Raw genomic sequence first — 19,183 nt, forward strand, 5'->3', positions numbered from 1 at the left:
CTGGAAAACCTGCAGACACTCAACGCCAGCCCATGAAAGCAGGCAAGAGGGAGGCTGTGCCCTGCAAAGCCACAGGGATGGAGCTGCCCAAGACCATGGCAACCCACCTTTTGCGTCAGTGTGACCTGAAAGTGAGACCTGGAGTCATAGGAGATCATTTTGGAGCTTTAAAATTTGACTGCCCCACTGGATTTCGGACTTGCCTGGGCCGCATAACCCCTTTATTTTTGCCAAGTTCTCCCATTTGGAATGGCTGTATTTTTCCAATACCTGTGCCGGTATGTATTGTATCTAGGAAGTAACTAGCTTGCTTTTGATTTTACAGGCTCATAAGTAGAAGGGACTTGCCTTGTCTCAGATGAGACTTTGGACTGTGGACTTTTGGGTTAATGCTGAAATGAGTTAAGACTTTGGGGAACTGTTGGGGAGCCATTATTGGTTTTGAAATGTGAGGACATGAGATTTGGAGGGGCCAGGGGCAGAATGATATGGTTTGGCTGTGTCCCCACCCAAATCTCAACTTGAATTGTATCTCCAGAATTCCCACCTGTTGTGGGAGGGACCCAGGGGGAGGTAACTGAATCATGGGGGCCAGTCTTTCCCGTGCTATTCTTGTGATAGTGAATAAGTCTCATGAGATCTGATGGGTTTATCAGGGGTTTCCGCTTTTGCTTCTTCCTCATTTTTCTCTTACCACCACCATGTAAGAAGTGCCTTTCACCTCCCATCATGGTTCTGAGGCCTCCCCAGCCATGTGGAACTGTAAGTCTAATTAAACTTCTATTTCTTCTCAGTCTTGGGTGTGTCTTTATCAGCAGCATGAAAATGAATTAATACAACCACCATCTAAAATTCCTTGTATATCTCCTATAAAAGACTTAAATAGGTAGCTATCTTAGCTGTCTTGCTCATGTCTACCCAGCAGCATAATTAATGAAGCAGCTACTAGAGTAAAACTGCTTTGAATCCTGTTCTGCAACCTACTTTGTTTGTTTGTTTTTTTAAACCCAAACAAGGGACTTAAATTCTCTGAGCCTTAGTTTCGTCATCTATAATATGAGAAAACAGTAGAATTTTCCTCTTGGGTTGTTATCACTATTAAATGAATCCATGCATATGAAGTGTTGAAAATATTGCCCAACACATGGTACTAGCTCAATCAATGTATTGATATTATTGTATCACACATTTGCATATAACATAATATCACATCAATAATTTATGAAAATATAAATTAAACATATAGTCCACTTACTTAATGTCTGTGAAGTACCATGTTAGGCACAGAAGTATAAACCTTAAGAAATTTAGAAGCCAGTGATTAGGACACCCTAGTTTTCTTCAAGGATACTCTCAGAGAGTTAGTTTACCACCAAATCTATGATAATATTCTGGTGGACAGTAAGAGGTCTAGTTCTTTGAAAGTGAGTCACCCTTACTTATCACTAAACTTGAAGGTATCTGTAATTGTTTCTATCCAGGGTTTTCAAGTAAATTCTATCTAGAAGCAAAGTCCTCACTAGCTTTCCATTTCTCTTAGGATATAAATGTAGAATCTTTGACATCAACTAAAAGACTCTGCTTTGAATAGCTTTAACAACATTTTCTCAAGCCCTTCTCACTAATACTCTCTGCTCCAGCTGCACTGGCTTCTGTCAGGTCCTCAGATATATGATCCTTTGCACCTCACCATCTCTTCACGTGCTCCCTCCTCTGTGTGGCGTACTCTCTCTGCACATCATGTCTGATTTACATCTTTTCAGATTTCTGCTTAAAGTTCCACTGCTCATGGCAGTGATCTCTGATTCCTTCTCAGAATGGGCTGCCATTCTAATGCATGCTTCCACAGAACCCTGTTTTTCTTTTAACATTTATCACAAATACAATTACATAATTAACTTTATAACAACACTGGAAGTCCACCATATTCACAAATAACTAATAGTAATTAAATTATATGTGCTGAGTTCTTCATCAGAAAGAACAAGAGTAGGAAAGAGAGAGTGAGAGTGAAAGAGTACAAGAGAAAGAGAGAAGCACAAACAAATAATGTAGGTTATTCCATCACTATTCCACCTGATGAGCTGATGACCTAATGCCTAGGAGGGGGCAGAAGATGACATGGGAGCACTGCTCTTTTCTGAGCGATTTTTACTAATCAATTGTCTTTCATTGCAGAACAGGAGACTAGTATTTGAACATATGTTTTTTAAACATCTTGGTTGCTTCATACAAGCCAACAACTTTATCTTGTGCTCGGTGAAGAAAGAAATTGGTTCTAAACCTCTGAAAAAAAATTGTCTGTTTTGAATTAATTAAAAGACACTATTGGGACCTTGGGGTAGCACCTTCCTAGGGAATTTTTTAGGATAATTTGGATGATGTGTGATTTTTACCTTACTTGCTCATGTTTATTATGCTCATGCTCATTGCCTCACAGAAGAGGCAATGCTCACTATTTTGGTTTAATATTTGTAATCCTGGCTTAAAATATGAGGTATTTGACGGTAGAGGATATATCTGGCAATTTTACTACTGTCCATAGCACACTACAGGATGCCTTGATCATGCTAGAGCTTAATAAATAAATATTTATTAAATGAATTGACAGTCTACCAATGTTTACAAGATCAGTCTACTTGGCAACAATAGAACGTTTGTACTTTGAAGACTAAAAGAAGTAGAAGACAGAATTTCAGATCCTTTAAGCATTGTGAAAACCTAGATAGCCTGTGTCTCTGTGGAACTCTAAATGAAAATGACAGAAAAACTAAAAGTGAGATAGGACAGAGTTCAGTCTATTAAAATGAAGACTTACATGTATAAGGCAACATTCTGTTCTTCAGGTCCCTTTCCAAGCCAAACTAACTGAAAAGCTGACACCTCCCTTATCATTTTAGGTCGAATGAGCCGGACTCGATTTATCATTATGCCAACCCAAGGAGAAGGACGGCCATGCCCCACAGAGCTTACCCAGGAGAAAACCTGCCCAGTGACCCCCTGCTACAGCTGGGTCCTTGGCAACTGGTCTGCATGTAAATTGGAGGTAGGTCATGTAATGACAGTTAGAGAAATATTCATCAGTATATTCGAAGCACTTGTCTGGTCAAACCTATGCGCTGATGGAATAAATTTCACAGCACCAGGGGTCTGGCACAATGTATTTTTAATGCAATGCAGAACATGGAAAAATACAACCAAATGGCTTAACCTCATGCAGAGTGATATTGCTAGGGTAATAAACAGCCATTCATTAAGCACTGATTATAATAGGTCAGGTCACAGATCCTTCAATCTCCTTGGCATCCTTAAGAATTCTGTTATTTTATTGGCTTGTTGGGAATATCAAAGGATTATTTAATTAGGCGAAAATCCTGATGCTGTGAAAATGCATAGCTTGCTTTAGATTGTTTAAGAAATTTAGATTTCTTAAAGAAACACTTTTAGGGTTAGACAAAATCTTGCATATGAGCAGAAAACCAAAAGTGTATGAAGTTATATTTTAACATTATTACATGAACCATGGTCACTACATTTTCCTCAATGATTACTTTTTTATTGGCCTTACAGATAAATGCCTAACAACATCCTAGTATATCACGTACCAAGAGCTTTTGCTAGATCAGCAAAGATCCTCTACTGCATTTTCTCTCTGGCTTCTTGCTTAAGAAATAGCACATTGTTTTTCCCTATTTTCTTATCCTAGTAGTTTATCCTTAGTTCATGTTCCAAAGCATACTTTAATTAGGTAACAATAATTTTGATTATGCATTAAGAAATCTGCAGAGTATTCTCATAGAGATGTTTAGTGTTCCTGTCAGGATGACATTGTCAGGCAACATTATTATCTTGCAAAAGTTAAATGCCTATGTATTTTAATAGGTCCCAGAGGAATAAAAATGCGTGGTACATTTGTTCAGTCTCATTTTTAGAGAAAATAAGATAACCATGCTAATTAACCAATTCAGAAGTAACTTAATAGCTTTAAATATTAATACTTTGTCTACTAGTCTAAATTCTTTCCTAAGTATTCAGCAATATTTAAATGTTGTTTGGACTCACTTACAAAAATTGAAGGAATATTGCTCCTTATCATTGGGACTGCTTTGACAGAATAGAGAAAATAAGCTCAAAGAATTTAGAAAGCCATTTCAGGGGAAGGGAGAGGAAAGTTGAATATTAGGAAGAAGAGAGAGGACAAAGGATGGGAGGGAGGGAGAGACAGAGGGACAGAGAACTGACAATGTCCACACTCCAAGTTTTACCAAAAATACAACTACTACTGTACCTTACCTGTTTTTGGCACTTTCTCTTTTATCTTCTCAGGTATCAGGAATCTATATCTTTGATAGGCAAGTCTACCAACTTGTTCTATAGGAATATTATAGGAAAATGCCAAATGCTATGTTTTGCTGTCAAATGTTGAGCTTTTACAAAAACAATAAGGGCAAGAGTGATGGGTGGTGCTCATTCTCTGTAGTGGTGCTGGTGATGGGTGGAGGGTTATGGCATCTATTGGAAATAGCTAGTCTTGAAAGCCCTGACAAGGCTTCTGGAGATCCACCAGAGTAGGTGATTGGTTTTTGCTTCCAGAAACTTCAGAGTTGCCCCAGATTTCTAGATAGAGTGAGTCCCGTTCGCTGACACTTCTAGTTGGGAAGAAACTCTGGAGCTAGACTTAATCTATGCAAAAGCTTCAATAAACAAGTCTATAGTTAATTATTCTAGGGTGGGCCCTTACCCAAACAGTGCCAATCAGCATTCTTCCCCAATAATTTAAAATGAAATTGATCTCATTCCAAGATACTGTAATCAGAAGCTCTTCATTGCCACATTTTTCTACCTTATAGATGAAGTCAGTCACTCAGAAGCAAAAAGCCCACCGAAAATGACATAAAGTAAAGCAGAGGTGCAAGAGAAAGGGAATCATGACAATATCTAAGTTGAGTTTTTCCTGACTTCCAGCTACATTCCTACTTTTCCTGCAGCCTGATTGTTAACTCTTTGTGAGATAGGTAACACCATATCTTCTTTAAAAATTTACTATACTTAAATTTATATATAAGCTGGATTTTTTAAATTACTGATCAAAATGCACGTGGGCCTTTTTGCACAAAGGAAAAACATCTTTCTGCCGCTGCATTTGTGCTTCCTCTTGTCCTAGCATGTCCTTGCCTGCCAAACACAAGTTGGGATCTCATTCAATGAGGGAGGTGATGATATTTAGGTGGCTGCTTGCCTTCACAAGTATCAACCCATAATAAAAGCTCGCGTGGGCACAGTGGGTGTGCCAATTCTGCCAGTGTCTTATGTGAAAAAGGAAGTATTTATCCTCAGGCATCACTTTCTTTTTTAGCATTTCCTAACTCTTCCCAAGTTTCTCAGCTGCTAACACATATACACACATATGCTCATAAATCTGCTTGAGGAGCTCAGATTCTGGAGTCTAGCAGCCCTAATTTTGGTCATGGTTCTGCCAATTTTTAGTTCTGCATTTCTGGCCAAGTCTATAAACTCTCCAAACATCTGTTTTCTTTTTTATATAGTGGGGATAGCAGTAGTACCTATTTCGCTGGTTATGTGGGCAGGAAGTAGATAAGTTAAAGTACTTTGCATAGTAATAGACATAAGTTAAGAGCTCAATAGTTATAGTTAGTATTATAATTTTTATTAAAACTATGATTATGATTATAAGCACCATCTGCCTATTCACATTAGGCAGTAATGCCAATTCATTGTATACAAAACCTCTATTAATGCTCTAGGCAATGGAGAGTTAACGAGAAAACCTGTGCCATTTACAGTCTTTCTCTTAGAAACCTGGGTCTATTTTCAGGCCCTAGTGTGTAAAATCTCTTGACTGTGGATGAGTGAATGTTTGCTTTATGACAGAAATTATTAATCTGATGCTGATTTCTCTTTACATTGTGGCTGTTGTTGTCGAAGGTATAAGCGATTAAGGTTGAATATGGACTGATCCCAAGATACATACTAGGAGCACACTGTTATTTGTCTTAGTTTTTAAAGTGATCTGCAGCATAAGTTTGTTTCCTGTTATTTCTTCACACTCTGTCTCATGGTGTGTAAAAAAAAAAAAAACCACTTTAATAAACTGCATATTTTACCTAAGGGTCCATGTATCAGTACTTTCAAAACTTTCAAATTTCATGTATGTTACAGTATCTTTAAACGCTTCTTTCCAGGTACACAAAGTCTAATACTCCACAGTAAAACATACACCTAGACAATTCTGCAATGAATCTATCATATGGAATAATAAGTTATAAGTGAGCCCTCCCTTCCCTGGAGTAATTTATACCTATTGTTTTTCACTCTAGGAAATAAACATTTACTAGAATATTTGCTTTGAATAAATCTACTATGAATTGATTTTGAACTTCCACTTTTCTCCAAAAAAAATGCATTTAGATTTAAAATTATGGTGCTTTTTTGGGACAGTTTCATAACAGGCATAGAAATTATTAGAGCAATTATGAAATACTGATAAAACAAATGTGGGAACGACTGTGTGCTGTGGTCTGAATGTTTGTGCCTCCTCCTCCAAACTCACATGTTGAAACATAACCCCCAATGTGATGGAATTCAGAAGTGGAGTTATTGGAAGGTGATAAGGGCACGAGGGCTCCGCCCTCATGAACGGTATTAATGTCCTTATAAAAGAGGCCTGAAGGAGCTTCTTCTTCCCTTGTACCATTTGAGGACACCCAGAAGTCACCATCTATGAGGACCTGGCTCTCATTTAAACACTTCAGGTGGGGCGTGGTGGCTCACACCTGTTATCCCAGAACTTTGGGAGGCCGAGGAGGGTGAATCACTTGAGGCCAGAAGTTTGAGACCAGCCTGAACAACATGATGAAACCCCATCTCTACTACAAATACAAAAAAAAAAAAAAAAAAGCTGAGTGTGGTCGCACGTGCCTGTAATCTCAGCTACTCGTGAGGCTGAGGCAGAAGAATCACTTGAACCTGGGAGGCGGAGGTTGGAGTGAGCTGAGATCACCCCACTGCACTCCAGCTTAGGTAACAAAGTGACACTCCATCTTAATAATAATAATAATAATAATAATAATAATAAACACTTCACTGGCACCTTGATCTAGGATTTTGCAGCTTCCAGAACCATGAGCAATAAATTTCCATTGTTTATAAATTACCCAATCTAAGGTATTTTATTATAGCAACATGAACAGACTAAGAGACTATCTTAGATAAATAAATCATAATTCCTCTGAACACTTCTTTAAAAGAGGGTGCAGTGTCCCTAATGTTTGTGACTGCTCAGATTCTTTAGATTTAAAGTTGCTACAACTTCATGTCCTCCAAGTTGCCCTTTTTCTTTTGTGCCGGTATGTCTTTGAGTCACAACTTCTCTATGTTAAGAAGCTTTATGAGCAGCCATTCTATACCATCCTGCACCCTCCAGCAGCTTATCCGTGACCTTCCCTTGATGCCCAACAGCTGCTGTCACTGTACCCTGGCATGTCTGATGCCCAGCTGACCCATAAGCCCAGGGATCACTTGCTCCATGTCCTGGAATGCTGTCATGACTGCTTTAGCAGGCCACCTTGTCCTGCTTTACTCCTGCCTCTGCAAGGGCTATAGAAGCTCTAAAATCTAGACAATGCAGTTTGGGAGTCCTGCAGGGGAAGAGGGATAAGAAGGAGGAGACACTCAGTTTTCAAGTGCATAGTTGTCAGACTGTCATCTAATAATGGATTGTAGCATGTAGCATACCTGACTGCAGCAACAGAGATGCAAAAAGACTGGGAAGTTTGAAGGCCTGAGTCCCTACTCCGATCTCTCTCTGTCTCTTTCTCTCTCTCTCTCTCTCTCCCCAACCCCCCCGCCCCCACTCTCTCACTTCTCTTATTCTCCCTCTTGTTTTGTCTCTTGCTCCCACCTTCACTTTTCTTCTTTGTCTTAGCATCCATAGCAGCAGCAATAGTCACAAAGCCTCTAGCTCTTCCACCAACTTCTGGACTTAGTGAAAGCTGAGTAACACAACTTGGAAGTACAGAGGAGTTAAGACTTCCTAAAATGACCATTGATCAATAAGAACTGGATCCTAGGAGTTGTTGACATTTAAGTGCCTCTCCTTTCTTTCCTCTCCTCCCTGCTCTTCATGAATGGTACTGAGACATGGTGACACCCCATGACCTGTCTGGAAGATGATGTGAGTAGCCAAGAAACCAGCTGTGCTTGTTTGTGAAGCTGAGGCCAGCTTGGTAACACACTACCTCATGTTAGCGTCCCCTCCTTTCCTGCTTCAGTTATATTTTACCTCTACTCTAGTCATACTGGGATTGCTTCTTAGTGTGAAAGTTTTGCCTTGGACTCTGTTTTCTAGAATATCTACATGAAAACAGAGCTATCAACTGAAGTTATCCAAATATCTAATAGACTTCTTTGAAGTGTGAACACCTGACTAAAATCGAAGATACTCATCTCATAGTGCCTGACAAAATTTTATTTTTTATTTTAGAACTATATTTTTGATACATAATAGATGTATATATTTTTTGGGTATATGTGATAACTTAGTATATTCATATAATTCGTAAATATCAAGTCAGTGTAATTGGGATATCCATTACCTTATATATTTTCCTTTATGCTAGAACAACTCAAATTATTCTCTTCTGGCCATTTTGAAATATATAGTAGATTATTGTAAGCTATAGTCACCCTACTGATCTATCAAATACTGGGTCTTATTTCTTTTATCAAACTATATATTTGTACCCATTAATCAACCTGTCTTCATCTCCCCCCCTCACCCCTACGTTCCTTGCCTCTGGTAACTACCAATCTTAACTCTCTATCTTTGTGAGATCCACCTTTTTAGCTTCCACATATGAGTGAGAACATATGATATTTGTCTTTCTGTTTGGCTTATTTCACTTAATGAGCTCCAGTTCCATTTATGTTTCTGCAAATGACAGGATTTTATTCTTCCTTATGGTTGAGTAATAGTCCATTTGTATACATTATACCACGTGTTCTTTATCCATTCATCCATTGATGTGCACTTAGGTTGATTCCATAGTTTGACTATTGTGAATTGTGCTGCAATAAACATGGCAGTGCAGTTGCCTCTTCAATTTATTGATCTCTTTCCCTTCTCTTGAGTATATAAATGTGTGTGTGTGTGTATGTGTGTTTATGTGTGTGTGTATTCAGTAGTAGAATTTCTGTATATGGTACTTCCATTTTTAGTTTTTTGAGGAACCTCCACACAGTTTTCCATAATGGCTGTACTTATTTAAATTCCCACCAACAGTGTTCAAGGGTTCCCCTTTGTCCACATCCTCACCAGCATCTATTATTACCTGTCTTTTTTATAATAGCCATTTTAGCTGGGGTAAGATGATATCTCATTATGCTTTTGATTTACATTTTTCTGATAAGTACTAATGTTGAACTTTTTTTTCATATGGCAGTTGGCTATTTGCATGTCTTCTTTTGAGAAATGTCTACTCAGGTATTTTGCCCATTTTTAAATTGGATTATTTGGGGGTTTTTTGCTGTTGAGTTCTTTGAACTATTTATTTATTCTGGTTATTAAGTCCTTGTCACATGGGTAGTTTGCAAACATTTTCTCCCATTCTGTTGGTTGTCTCTTCACTTTGTTGATTGTTTGCTATGCAGAAGCTTTTTAGCCTGTTGTACTCCCATTTGTCTATTTTTGCTTTGATTGCCTGTGCTTTGATATCTGACACAAAAGAAAAAAAATCTTTTCCCAGACCAATATCCTGGAGCATATTCCCAAAGTTCTTTTCTTCTAGTAGTTTCAAAATTTCGGTTCTTAGGTTTAAGACTTTAATACATTTTGATTTGATTTTCTTGTATGTTGAAAGGTAGAGGACTAGTTTTATTTTTCTGCATATGCTTATCCAGTTTTCCCGGTAATATTTATTGAAGAGACTATCCTTTCCCCACTGCATGTTCTTGGCACCTTTGTCAAAAATGAGTTGTCTATAAATGCATGAATATAAATCTGGATATAAATCTGGGGTTTTTATCATGCATATAAGTCTGAGTTTTTTATTTTGTTTCATTTGTCTAAGTATCTGTTTTTATGCCAGTGCCATGCTGATTTGCCTACTACAGGTTTGTAGTGTATTTTGAAGTCAAGTAGTGTGATGCTTTCAGCATTGTTCTTTTTGCTCAGGATTGCTTTGGCTATTCAAGATATTTTGAGTTTCAGCTGGACACAGTGGCTCACGCCTGCAACCCCAGCACTTGGGGAGGCTGAGGTGGGAGAATCCCTTGCCCTCAGGAGTTTGAGACCAGCTTGGGTAACATAGTGAGACCTAATCTCTACTAAAATTAAAAAAAAAAAAGTTAGGCAGGTGTGGTGGTGGATGTCTCTCATCCCAGATACTCGGGGGGCTAAGGTGGGAAGATGGCTTGAGTCGGAGAGGTCGAGGCTGTAATGAGTCCCGATTATGCCACTGCATTGATATTTTGAGTTCCATATACATTTTACGATGTTTTTCTATGTATGTGAAGAATGTCTTTGGTATTTTGATGGGGATTGCACTAGATCTGTAAATTGCTTTGGAAGTATCATCATTTTAATACTAGTTCTTCCAATCCATGTGCATAGAATATCTTTCCATTTTCATATATCATCTTCAATTACTTTCTTTAGCGTTTTATGCTTTTCCTTGTATAGCTCTTTCACTTTTTTTGGTTAAATTGATTTGCAGGTGTTTTATATCCTTTATAGCTATTGCAAATGAGATTGCATTCTTGATTTATTTTTCAGATTGTTCACTGTTGGTGTATATAAATGCTACTGATTTCTGTATGTTGATTTTATGTCTTGCAACTTTACTTAATTCTTTTATCAGTTACAAGAGTTTTTTGGTAGAGCCTTTAGGTTTTTGTAAGTATAAGATCATATCATCTGCAAACAAGGCTAATTTGACGTCTTCCTTTCCAACTTAGATGTCCTTTATTTCCTTCTCTTGACTAACTGCTATGGCTAAGACTTCCAGTATTATGTTGAACAAAAGTGGTAAAAGTAGGCATCCTTGTCTTGTTCCAGATCTTAGAGCAAACGCTTTCCATTTTTCTCCATTCAATACAATGTTAGCTGTGAGTCTGTCATATGAAATCTTTACTATTTTGAGTTCTTTTTCCTTCTGTATCTAATTTGTCAAGAGTTTCTATCATAAAGGGATATTGAATTTTATCAAATGCTCTTCAGCATCTATTGAAATGATCGTATGGTTTTTGTTCTTGCTTCTGATAATGTTGCATGTTATTCCTGCACAGGGTGTACCATCCTTACATTCCTGAAATGAATCCCACCTGATCATGGTGAATGATCTTTTTAATGCATTGTTGAATTTGGTTTGCTAATATTTTGATCAGGATTTTTACATTTATTTTCACCAGTGATACTGGCCTATAGTTTTCTACTTTTGCTATGCCCGTTTCTGGTCTTGGATCAGGGAAAGCTGGCTTCATGGAATAAATTATGAAGTATTCCCTCCTCTTCAATTTTATTTAAATAATTTGAGTAGAATTGGTATTAGTTCTATGTTAAATGTTTGGTAGAATTCATTAATGAAGCCATCAGAGTCTGGGTTTTTTTTCATGGGAGACTTTTAAGTACAGCTTCAGTTTTCTTACTTGTTACTCGTTTGTTGCCATTTTCTATTTCTTCATGGTTCAATCTTGATAGGTTGTGTATGTCCAGGAATTTATCAATTTAGTCTAAGTTCTTCAAATTGTTGGCATTTGGTTGCTCATAATATACTGTAATTATTATTTGTATTTCTGTGATCTCAGTGTTTATGTCTCCTTTTGGGGTTCTGATATTATTTATTTGGGTCTTCTTTTTTCTTAGTCTAGCTAAAAGTTTGTCAGTTTTGTTTATTTTTTTAAAAAAAACAAAGATTTGATCATTTGATCTTCTGTATGGTGAGACCACTTTGACTTATGGCTACTCTGATGTATATGATTTTGTCTTTCTACTAATTTGAGGTTTGGTTTGTTCTTGCATTTCTAGTACCTTGAAGTACATCATTAAATTATTTGAATTCTTTCTACTTTTTCAATGTAGACATTTATTGCTGTAAACTTCCCTCTTAATACTGCTTTTGCTGTATCTCATAGATTTTGGTTTGTTATATCTCCATTTTCATTGTTTTAAGAAATTTTTACATTTTCTTAATTTTTTAATTTATTCGTTGGTTATTCAGGAGCATGTTGTTTAATTTCCATGTATTTGTGTAGTTTTTAAGGTTCCTCTTGTTATTTATTTCTAACAGCATTCCCTTGTGATCAGAAAACATACTTGATATGATTTCTACTTTTTTGGATTTGTTGAAACTTGCTTTGTCGCCGAAGATATGGTTTATTCTGAAGAATGTCCTATGTGCTGATGAAAAGAATGTATATTCTACAACAATTGGGTGAAATATTCTATAAATATCTGTTAGACCTATTTGGTATAATGTAGTTTAACTCTAGTGTTTCTTTGTTGATTATGTGCCTGTCCTGTCAATTACTGAGAGTGGAGTGTTGAAATGTTCTACTATTATTGTATTGAGATCTCTCTTTCTCTCTCTCTCCCTTTAAATCTATTAATGTTTTCTTTATATACTTGGGAAGTCCAGTGTTGGGTCTATCAACAATTACAGTTGCTATATCCTCTTGCTGAATTGACACCTTTAATAGTGACCTTCTTTGTCTATTTTTACAGTCTCTGATTTGTAGACTATTTTAGCTGATACAAATACAGCTGCTCCTTCTCTTTTTGGTTTCCAGTTGCATGGAATATCTTTTTTTATTCTTTCACTTTCAATGTCTTTCACTATATGTGTCTTTATAGGTAAGGTGAGTTTCTTGTAGACAGTATATACTTGGGACTTGTTCCTTTATCCATTCAGACACTCTATGTCTTTTAAATGGAAAATTGAGTCTATTTACACTCAGTGTTATTGATAGGAACTTGCTACTGCCATTTTGTTGCTTGTTTTCTAATTGTTTTGTAACTCCTCTTTTAGTTTTTTCCCCTCTTCCTTTGTGGTGAAGTTATTTTCTCTGGTAGTATGTTTTAATTTGTTGCGTTTTACTTCTGGTAAACCTATCATAAGTTTTTGCATTATGGTTACCACGAAGCTTACAAAAATATCCTGTATGACAAGTTATTCTGAAGAGATGACAAGTTCACTTAGATTGCAAAGAAAATAATAGAAACAAACAAAAAAATTTACACTTTCACTTTGCCCCCGACATTTTGACTTTCATTTTTCTCAATTGACATATTTTTATATTATCATTCTTAGGTTGCTGTAGCTGTTATTATTTTTGATAGATGCTTATTTGGGGCTTCAAATTCAGTTATGAGTGAATTGCACACCACAATTACAGTATTAGGATATTCCATGTTTGTCCATGTGCTTAATTTTTCCTGTGATTTCGTTTTGCACATTTGTGTTTTGTTCTTTCAAACTGAAGAACCCCCTTTAGCATTTCTCATAAGTCTGGTGGTGGTGAATTCTCTCAGCTTTTGTTTGTCTGTAAAGGACTTTATCCTGCCTTTATATCTGGAGGATAACTTTGCTGGATACAGTATGCTTGGGCAGTGGATTTTTTTTCTTTCAGAACTTTGAAAATGTCCCACTCCCTTCTACCCTGTATGATTTCCATTGAAAGATCTGTTGCCAGATAAGTGGGAGCTCCTTTATATGTTGTTTGCTTATTGTATCTTAAGGTTTTTAAGGTCCTGTTTTTCTCCTTCACCTTGGAAAGTTTGATTATTATGCGCCTTATGATAGTCTTATTTGGGTCATATCTGTTTGGTGTTCTCTGACCTTGCAGTACCTAGATATTTATATCATTCCCAAGTTTTGGAAAGTTTTCTGTTGTTTTTTATTTGAATATGTTTTCGACGCTTTGCTCTTGCTCAACTCTCTTTTGAGCACCAATAAATCCTAGATTTGGTCTTTTGGGGTAATTTTCTGTATCTTGTAGGCAGTCTTCATTCCCTTTCATTCTTTTTCTCCTCTGACTGTGTATTTTCAGATAACCTGTCTTTGATCTCCCTAATTCTTTTCTCTGCTTGATCCATTCCGCTTTTGAGAGCCTCTAATGAATTTTTCAGTTCAGCAAATGTAGTTGTTTCAATATTTCTATTTTTTAAAATTATTATTTCAAACTGTTTAATTTCTCTGATAAATTTCTGAATAGATTTTCTGTGTTATCTTGGAGATCATAGAGTATTCTAGAAATTGTTATTTTGAATTCTAGCTCAGAGAGCTCACATATCCATGTTGTTAGGATCACACACTGGTTCCTTTCTTTATTCATCTGGGGTGGTCCTGCTTCCCTGTTTCCCTTGTTTTTTTAATGGACGTACCTCTCTGTCTTTATGTGGAAGGCTTAGCTATTAATTCCAGGCTTGTCAGTGTGGCTTGTTTTGGTTTTTACTGGATATTACTTTTTAGTAATTCTTCGTAATTTAACTGTTGGTTTTCTTTCTTTTTTTCTACTGCTAAGTTCTGGCCTTCTTTTTAGCACTATATAGCATCTTGAGCCTAGGTTTGCTTTGCTTCAGTAAACAATTAGTGTGCTGCCTATCATGAATAGGGGAGGTCCCCAAGGGGATATCCCAATAGTGTGAGAAGGCTAGGTAGGTGTTCATGCCTAGGGGATCTGTGAAACCAACCTCCTACAGCGTGGTACTGCTGAACAGCCACTTTGACTTGGTATCTCCTTTGGATGAATTACAGAACAGAGTTTTCAGAGCTGGAGGATAGTAGTCATCCCTCCCCTCTTTGTCTCTGGATGTCCTTAGGGATGTTTCTTTCTTCAGGCACTTCCCATGCTTCCGGTGGGTTGAGGCAGGGACAGGCCTCCTGCCAGGATACTGAAGATGGTGGGGAAGCTGGTTATCTACCTCAATCTCACATTTTGCAGCACAGAAACCATGAGTAAAGGGGAAATTTTCTGTGCACTTGGTTCTGGGCAGATTCGGGGGAGGGCTATTGCAGATATGGAAGTCTGATTCCCTTACCACTTACTGAGTTTTTTCACTTCTCTGTGGCACCAGGAACTGTCTTATCCTCATATTTGAGCTCTGAGATATGGCTGATGATAGTCTCAGCATTGAATATTTGTTTTTGGTTTTCTGTGGGGGGCTGGAGGAAGGGTGAAGCCAGCTTGCTTCTATGCTGACATTTTGGAGCTGAAGTCTTCTCTGCCAAAAATTTTATAGTAGGAAACCCTTTATCAGGCAGATCGTTGGGCCAGTTTACCATTAGGAGCCATCCAATTCTAAGCTTCTGTTTCTGTGAGACACTGTACAAATTTTTTCTAATTGCCTAGAATATCTAAGTGAGATGGGTATGACATGTCTTCAAAGAACATTATTCAGCATAGAAGGCATGCTGTGAAAACAAATTCTTGTGGCAACAGAGAAAAACCGTGTTTTATTAGAAACCTCAACCTAATCCATAGAAAAAAGTACTGAATTCTATAAAAAAGAAAAACAGGTAAAATAAAAGAAATTTATGCCCTGTAACTTTATATGTTCTCATTGGTGATTACAGATTAGGTCATTTTATCACATACAACTAGACAAATTATGTATTGTTTTCTTTTTTAGTCAATCTTGGCTGAGTTCCAAAATGAATTGTCATATTCTAAGTACATAGGTTCCATGGCATGATTTGCATTCCCACTGAAGCTTCTCTATCAGCTCTGGCAGTGTTGCTCAGGGATGCTTTATTGTCAACAATTGAGAGATAGCTCACAAGAAGAGGAAGCTACGAAAATATGCAACTATGGTCTTCTTAGGCAAGAGGTGGCAAGAGCCAAAACTTTGAGATGTGAATTATTTGGGTAATTGTGAAAGTATCCTTTCCTCTCATAGGGTGGAGACTGTGGGGAAGGAGTTCAGATCCGCAGCCTTTCCTGCATGGTCCACAGTGGTTCAATATCTCATGCAGCTGGACGTGTCGAGGATGCACTGTGTGGAGAAATGCCCTTTCAGGACAGCATCCTGAAGCAGCTGTGTTCTGTGCCTTGCCCAGGTATGCAATGCTAGTGATTGGGAGCGCCTCCCATGGTGATCTTTTTGTTTATTTTACTACTGTTTTCCTAGAGATGCTCTAGCTCATCAAAATTAAAGTTTTTAAATAACTTTAATTCATTTTTAATTGTGGTTATCACTTTGGTATATACCTACGGCTTTGATGGAGCCAAAGTAGGCAAAAGAAAAAAAAAGGCACTGGATTTGGAAACTTAAGAGCTAAGTTAGAATCATGTCTCTATCACTTCATTGTTTTACTTGGGGTATGTAGTCTAGCCCCTGTGAGCAATGATTTCTTCATCTAGAAACTGTGATGTTAATTCCGTATCCAACAGCACCTAGCACATTGGACAGCGTTCAAAAAATGTTGGCTGAATTCTGGGTGATGGCATGGTTGGAACCAGTAAGGCTATGAGTTCATGAAAGCACTCTGTAAATGTGAAGTTCCATATAAATGTGAAGTTCTATATAAATTTTATTAGTTACATAAAATGTATCAGTTTATCTTAATCCTAGTAACACAACATAGTTTGTATGGCATAAGTTCAAGTGACAATATGTTTTTATAATACAGTATATAACATATGTGTATGTATGTATACACACATATGTATTACAAAAAAAATTATAATTTATATAAAGATACATTTATACAAATTATAAATTATATTTCTTGAGTGAGAAAGATGTTTAGGGTATTAAATTAAACATTCTTTGGTCCAAAAGATAGTTCATTTCAGTGACCTACTTATTCTCTTTTATATGGTTTCTATGAACATCCATTTTATGATGTTATTCTGATCTTTGAACACTGAGTTACCATAATCTTTATATCTCTCTTTTAAAAGTTTTATTAACACTAGCAGATACATAATATTTTCTAGATGTGACTACTACAATTTGAAGCAAAGTAATAACAATCTAGTTTTTGGCACTTTCTTGTTAAACAAGATTAAACTATAAATTACTTCATCATTCTTAGTACATTCTGATTGGAAAATTGATCAATATAGAATGTGTAGTATCAGGAACTGCATGTATCACTGCAAATCTCTGTGTGAGCCCTGCCCATGCAAATGTTGTCCAGTGCCACTTTTCATGCTGTTTTCTCCACCCTGTACTGCATGACTGTCCAGGAGACTGCCATTTAACAGAATGGTCAGAGTGGAGCACATGTGAATTAACCTGCATTGATGGAAGAAGCTTTGAGACTGTGGGCCGCCAGTCTAGATCAAGGACTTTTATAATTCAGTCTTTTGAGAACCAAGACAGCTGCCCCCAACAGGTTCTAGAAACACGCCCTTGTACAGGTACCAAGAGCACTTTTCAGTTCTTTAGCCTTCATTGATCAATGCTTATTCTAAGTGAGGTGTAATAGAACTGCTATTATCATATTTACTTACAGGAGGCAAATGTTATCACTACACATGGAAAGCAAGTCTTTGGAACAATAACGAACGAACTGTATGGTGCCAGCGTTCAGATGGCGTTAATGTCACAGGTATTCCTGCCTAAGACTCATGTGGGCACTTCACAAACACCCCTGAGTGTTGTTATTTGTGAGAAGAATTAGCTTACAAATTATAAACAAGGGGTGACTTGGGCAGGTAGCTTAGATGAATTTTATTACAAATTTTCATTAGACGTTTGCATCTTAGAAAGAAAGCAATTCAATTTTAAGACCTATAAAAATATCAAACAACTTAAAGAAATAAGCTGAAATGCAATAAAATGTCCTTAAATATCATGATCTGAGATAAAGACTGAAAAAGACAGATGCTAGTAAAATTTTAAATCATGTCCCTTCTCAATAAAACGTTTCAAAGGACATATCTTAGCATGTGTGTGTGCAGTACTCACCTGACATAAAACATACTCAGAAGTTGAAACTAAAGAGGTTAATAAAGACAAAATTTAAAAATTAAAATATTCTGTATGTTAATGATGCAGAAAGCTTTTATGATGTAAATTACAGGTATTTGTATTCATGTACTAGCAGCTTAGTTTTTGAATATTTTGTGAGTCATGATTATTACTTAATATCTAAATATAGACTGAGCAAGAGGTCCCTCATTCATGATGGCAGATACCATTTAGCAGGCTGAAGTGCAGTGACACAATTTTGGCTCACTGCAACCTCTGCCTCCCTGGTTTGAGTGATTCTCTTGTCTCAGCTTCCTGAGTAGTTGGGACTGCAGGCACACGCCACCACGCCCAGCTAATTTTTGTGTTTAGTACAGACAGGGTTTCACCATGTTGGCCAGGATGGTCTCGATCTCTTGACCTCATAATCTGCCCGCCTCGGCCTCCCAAAGTGCTGGGATTACAGGCGTGAGCCACCACGCCCGGCCAATTTTTGAGATTTTTAAATGCTTTCTTGTCAGCAAATTAAATTGTCATTATTTTTACTTAGTACTATCGTTTACAGAGAGCTTGTGCAAGAGCTGAAATGCCTATAGGAATAGAAGTATTGTCAGCTCCTCCTTTTTCTTGTTTACTTGCTCTTGCACTATTGGTATTCTTTTTAATTTAAAGTTTATCCACAAAATAATTTACTTTAAGCTACTTATCTTTTTTGTAAGTTGTTAAAACTAAATATACTCTAAGTCTCCCTAGTCAGGAACACAGAAGGCATCATACTCTGCAATACACTGAGAGTTAACGTACTGGTAGGAGCTTTGCTATCAATTCTCTGCACGGAATTCCTCAGGCACAGTGTATAACATGTAATCATCTGATGAAGAAGCTCAGGTCATCAGTATCATCTGACAAATATTATTAAAGCTTAATTTAATTCTTAGAATTAAAAAATATGTTCTATAACCTATGTAAATTCCAAGATTTTCTTTCCTATTCCCAAGAGCCCTCCTCCCACTGAAGTACGCCTGCTGTGGAGATCCCTGGTTGAAAGAACGGAAACCCTCCCCCTGCCAGCACCAACACAGTTGGTAGAAATAGGACTGTGTGGTTATTGCCACTAACACCGAAATTATCAATTTCACACCTAGATGCTAATTCTGGACTGTGAATTTTGCTTTTTAAAAATTTCTGTGTGGATTCTTTGTGTTATTTTTCAAGTCACAGTGAGAATTTAGCTGCTTCATTCCCAGG

At 37.1% G+C, this 19,183-nt stretch overlaps 1 protein-coding gene across 2 annotated transcripts in view; it reads left to right on the forward strand.

Moving 5' to 3' along the window:
* Window positions 1-19,183, forward strand: part of THSD7B (thrombospondin type 1 domain containing 7B) — a 912,174-nt gene that overhangs the window by 874,043 nt on the left and 18,948 nt on the right. For both annotated transcript variants that reach the window (NM_001316349.2, XM_047445935.1), the window contains exons 21-24: window positions 2,901-3,046; window positions 15,914-16,073; window positions 17,209-17,382; window positions 17,478-17,573. In NM_001316349.2, the coding sequence (NP_001303278.1) occupies window positions 2,901-3,046; window positions 15,914-16,073; window positions 17,209-17,382; window positions 17,478-17,573 (576 nt within the window). The remainder of the gene's footprint in view (window positions 1-2,900; window positions 3,047-15,913; window positions 16,074-17,208; window positions 17,383-17,477; window positions 17,574-19,183) is intronic.

The sequence above is a fragment of the Homo sapiens genome, chromosome 2 (genome assembly GCF_000001405.40).
Source record: "Homo sapiens chromosome 2, GRCh38.p14 Primary Assembly".
Classification (NCBI taxonomy): Eukaryota; Metazoa; Chordata; class Mammalia; order Primates; family Hominidae; genus Homo; species Homo sapiens.